The following is a 6,000-nucleotide window of genomic DNA, read 5'->3' as shown; positions in this document are numbered from 1 at the left end:
CTACCAAATGAAAAATCCCCAGACCAGAGAGATACACAGCTGAATTCTACCAGAGATACAAAGAAGACCTTGTGCCATTCCTACTGAAACTATTGCAAAAAAATTGAAAAGGAGGGGCTCATCTCTAACTCATTTTATGAGGCCAGCATCATCCTGATACAAAAACCTGGCAGAGATACAGAGAGTGAGATAGAGAGAGAGACAGAGAGAGAGAGAGAAGGAGAGAGAGAAACTTTGGGCCAATACACTTCATGAAAATCAGTGCCAAAATTCTCAACAAAATCCTGGCAAACCAAATTCAGCAGCACATCAAAAAGCTTATCCACCATGATCAAGTAGACTTCATCTCTGGGATGCAAGGTTGGTTCAACATATGCAAATCAATAAATGTAATTCATCACATAAAGAGAACTAAAGACAAAAACCACATAATTACCTTAATAGATGAAGAAAAGGCTTTCAATAAAAATCAACATACTTTCATGTTAAAAACTCTAATAACTAAGTATTGAAGGAACATACGTCAAAATAATAAGAACTACATATGACAAACCCACAGCCAATATTATACTAAAAGGGCAAAATCTGGAAACATTCCCCTTGGAAACTGGGACAAGACAAGTTTGCCCTCTCTTACCACTCCTATTCAACACAGTATTGGAAGTTCTGGCCAGGGCAGTCAGGCAAGAGAAAGGTATAAAGGGTGTTCAAATAGGAAAAGAGGAAGTCAAATGATCTTTTTTAGCAGATGACATAATCTTATATCTACAAAATTCCATTGTCTCAGCCCAAAAGCTTCTTAAGCTGATAAGCAACTTCTGCAAAGTCTCAGGATACAAAATCAATGGGCGAAAATCACAAGCATTCCTATACACCAACAATAGACAAGTGGACAGCCAAATCATTAATGAACTCCCATTCACAGTTACTACAAACATAATAAAATACCTAGGAATACATTTAACAAGGGAAGGGAAAGACTTTTTCAACGAGAACTACAAACCACTGCTGAAGGCAATCAGAAAGGACACAAACAAATGGAAAAACGTTCCATCCTCATGGATAGGAAGAATCAATATCATGAAAATGGCTATAATGCCCAAAAGACTTTATAGATTCAATGCTATTCCCATTAAACTGCCATTGACATTTTTCGCAGAATTAGAATAACCTACTTTAAAATTCTTGTGGAACCAAAAAATAGCCTGTAATAGCCAAGTCAATTCTAAGCAAAAAGAACAAAGCTGGGGGCTTCACACTACCTGACTTCAAACTATACTATAAGGCTACACTAACAAAAACAGCATGGTACTGGTACAAAAACAGCATGGTACTGTTACAAAAATAGACACATAGACCAATTGAACAGAATAGAGAACTTATAAATAAGACCACAAATCTACAACCATCTAATCTTTGACAAAACTGAAAAAAACAAGCAATGGGGAAACGATTTCTTATTTAATAAATGGTGCTGGGAGAACTGGCTAGCCATATGCAGAAAATTGAAAGTGGACCCCTTCTTTACACCTTACACAATAATTAACTCAAGATGGATTAAAGACTTAAATGTAAAACCCAAAACTACAAAAATCCTAGAAGAAAATCTAGGCAATACCATTCAGGACATAGGCATGGGCAAGGATTTCCTGATGAAAATGTCAAAGGCAATTGCAACAAAAGCAAAAATTGGCATGAAATCTAATTAAACTAAAACGCTTCTGCACAGCAAAAAAGAAACTATTGAGTGAACAGATAACCTACAGAATGGGAGAAAACCTTTGCAATCTATCCATCAGACAAAGGTCTAATATCCATAATCTACAAGGAACTTAAACAAATTTACAAGAATAAAACAAACAACCACATTAAAAAGTGGGCAAAGGATATGAACAGACACTTCTCAAAAGAAGATATTTATTTGATCAAAAAACATATGAAAAAAAGGTCAACATCACTGATCTTTAGAAAAATGCAAATCAAAACCACAATGAACCATCCCACACCAGTCAGAATGGTGATTATTCAAGAAACAACAGATACTGGCAAGGCTGTGGAGAAGTAGGAACACTTTTACACTGTTGGTGGGAATGTAAATTAATTGAAACATTGTGGAAGATTGTGTGGTGACTCCTCAAAGACCTCGAACCAGAAATACCATTTGACCAGCAATCCCATTACTGGGTATATACCCCAAAGAATATAAATCATTTTCTTATAAAGATACATGCACATGTATGTTTATTGCAGCACTATTCACAATAGCAAAGGCATGGAATCAACCAAATTCCCATCAATGATAGACTGGATAAAGAACATGTGGTACATATACACCATGGAATTTTATACAGCCATAAAAAGGAATGGGATCGTGTCCTTTGCAGGGACATGGATGGAGCTGGAAGACATCCTCAGCAAACTAACACAGAATAGAAAACCAAACACTGCATGTTCTTACTTATAAGTAGGAGCTGAACAATGAGCTGAATACATGGACACAGAGAGGGGAACAACATACACTGGAGCCTGTCAGGGGTGGGATAAGGGGAGGGAGAGCATCAGGATAAACAGCTAATGCATGCTGGCTTAATACCTAGGTGATGATGATATGGTTTGACTGTGTCCCCACTCAAATTTCATCTTGAATTTTAGTTCCCATAATTCCCATGTGTTGTGAGAGGGACCCAGTGAGAGGTAATTGAATCATGGGGGAGGTTATTTCCATACTGTCCTCATGATAGTGAGTGAATTCTCATGAGATCTGATGGTTTAAAAGGGAATTTGCTCCCCCCCAACTTTGCTTGGCACTTCTCTCTCCACCACCATGTGAAGAGGGCTGTTTTTGTTTCCCCTTCTGCCATAATTGTAAATTTCCTGAGGCCTCCCCAGCCATGCAGAACTGTGAGTCAATTAAACCTCTTTCCTTTATAAATTACCTAGTCTTGGGTATGTTCTTACAGCAGCATGAGAAAAGGCTAATACAGAAAATTGGTATCTGAGGGAGAGGCGTGCTGTTATAAGGATACCCAAAAATGTGGAACTGACTTTGGAACTGAGTAACAGGCAGAGGTTGGAACAGTTTAGAGGGCTCAGAAGAAGACAGGAAAATGTGGGAAAGTTTGGAACTTCCTAGAGACTGGTTGATTGACTTTGACCAAAATGCTGATATAGCCAATAAAGTCCAGGCTGAGGTGGTCTCAGATGGAGATGAGGAACTTGCTGAGAACTGGAGTAAAGGTCACTCTTGCTATCCATCAACAAAGAGAATTGGCAACATTTTGCCCCTGCCCTAGAGATCTGTTGAACTTTGAATTTGAGAGAGATGATTTAGGGTTTCTGGCAGAAGAAATTTCTAAGCAGCAAAGCACTCAAGAAGAAGCAGAGCATAAAAGTTTGGAAAATTTGCAGCCTGACAATGTAGAAAATAAATCCCATTTTCTGGGGAGAAGTTCAAACCAGCTGCAGATATTTGCATAAGTAATGACAGTGAAATATTAATCACCAAGACAATGGAGAAAATGTCTCCAAGGCATGTCAGAGGTCTTCATGGCAGCCCCTCCTGTCACAGGCCCAGAGTCCTAGGAGAAATAAATGGCTTTATGGGCCAGGCCCAGGACCTTGCTGCTTTGTGCAGTCTCAGGACATCGTTCCCTGTATCCCAGTTATGGCTAAAAGGGGCCAAGCTATAGCTTGGGCCATGACTTCAGAGGGTGCAAGCCCCATGCCTTGGCAGCTTCCATGTGATGTTGAGCCTGAGGGTGCACAGAAGTCAAGAATTAAGATTTGGGAATCTCTGCCTAGATTTCAGAGGATATATGGAAATGCCTGGGTGCCCAGGCAGAAGTTTTCTGCAGGGTTGGAGCCCTTATGGAGACCCTCTGCTAGGTCAGTGTGAAAGGGAAATGTGCGGTTGCAGCCGTGACACAGAGTCCCCACTGGGGCACTGCCTAGTGGAGCTGTGAGGAGAGGACCATTGTTCTCTAGGTCCCAGAATGGTAGATCCACTGTCAGCTCGCACCTTACACCTGGAAAAGCCACAGACATTCACCACCAGCCTGTGAACTCAGCTGGGAGGAGGGCTGTATCATGCAAAGTCACAGAGGCAGAGCTTCCCATGTCCATGGGAGCCCACCTCTTGCATCATTGTGCCCTGGATGTGAGACATGGAGTCAAAGGAGATCATTTCAGAGCTTTAAGATTTGACTACCCCACTGAATTTCAGAATTGCATGGGGCCTGTAGCCCCTTCATTTTTGCCAATTTCTCCCATTTGGAATGGCTGTATTTACCCAATGCCTGTACCCCAATTATATCTAGGAAATAATTAACTTGCTTTTGATTTTACAGGCTCATAGGTGGAGGGGACTTGCCTTGTCTCAGAGGAGACTTTGGAGTTGGACTTTTGGAGTAATTATAGAATGAGTTAAGACTTTGGGGGACTGTTGGGAAGGCATGATTGTGTTTTGCAATGTGAGGACGTGAGATTTGGGAGGGGGCAGCAGTGGAATGGTATGGTTTGGCCAAATTTCATCTTGAATTGTAGTGCCCATTAACCCCCATGTGTCATGGGAGGGAGCTAGTAGAAGGTAATTGAATCATTGGGGCAGTTACCTCCATGCTGTTCTCATGATAGTGACTTCTCATGAGATCTGACTGGTTTTATAAGGGACTTATCCCCCTTTTGCTCAGCACTTCTCTCTCCACTGCCATTTGAAGAAGGATGTGTCTGCTTCCCCTTCTGCCATGATTGTAAGTGTCCTGAGGTCTCCCTAGCCATGTGGAACCATGAGTCAATTAAACCTCTTTCCTTTATAAATTACCTAGTCTTGGGTATGTCCTTATAGCAGCATGAGAATGGACTAATACAGATGGGTTAATAGGTGCAGCAAACTACCATGGCACACATTTACCTATGTAACAAACATACACATCCTGCACATGTATCCTGGACCTTAAAATAAAATAAAATAAAATTAGAAAAAGTAAAAATAAAAAATAAAATGTCTAAAAGTAAAAGATGCTGTGTGAGGTTGTGGAGAAAAACAAATGCTTTTACATGGTTGATGGGAGTGTAAATTAGTTCAGCCTTTGTGGAAGACAGAGTTGGGGATGCCTCAAGGACCTAAAGATAGAAATACCATTCAACCTAGCAGTCTGATTACTGGGTATATACCTGAAGGAATATAAATGGTTCTATTATAAGGACACATGCACAAGTATGTTTACTGCAGCACTATTCACAGTACCAAAGAGACAGAATCAATCTAAATGCCCATCAATGATAGATAGGATAAATAGAATGTGGTACATATACACCATGGAATTCTATGCGGCCATAAAAAGGAATGAAATCATCCTTTGCAGGGACAGGGATAGCTGGAGGCCATTATCCTTAGCAAACTAATGCAGGAACAAAAAACCAAATACCACATGTTCTCACTTATAAGTGGGAGCTAAATGATGAGAACACATGAACACGTGGTGGGGAACAACACACATTAGGGCCTGTCGGAGGGTGGGGGATTGGGAGGAGGGAGAAGATAAGGAAGAATAGCCAGTGGATGGTGGGCTTCATACCTGGGTGATGGAATGATCTGTGCAGCCAACCACCTTGGCACACATTTACCTATGTAACAAACCTCCACTTCCTGCATGTACATGTACCCCAGAACTTAAAAGTTGGAAAATTTTTAAAAAGTGTTGTATTTGCATATAACCTATGCTCATCCCTTCTTATACTTTCAATCATCTTTAGATTATGATATCTAATAGAATGTACATACTATGTAAATAGTTGTTATGCTGTGTTATTTTTGTTGTATTATTTGATTGGTACACTGTTTTTATTAGTTCTTTTTTGAACATTTTCAAAACATTTGAAAATATTTGTTGAATCTGTAGATATGAAACCTGTGGATTATAAGGGTCAACTATATTTTTTAAATATGTAACTTGATTTCATGCCCACTTAAGCAGAAAATAATTGAAGGCAATTTTCACT

Source organism: Homo sapiens, chromosome 4, assembly GCF_000001405.40.
Source record: "Homo sapiens chromosome 4, GRCh38.p14 Primary Assembly".
In the NCBI taxonomy this organism is placed as follows: domain Eukaryota; kingdom Metazoa; phylum Chordata; class Mammalia; order Primates; family Hominidae; genus Homo; species Homo sapiens.
Note: the sequence above shows the minus strand (reverse complement) of the source record.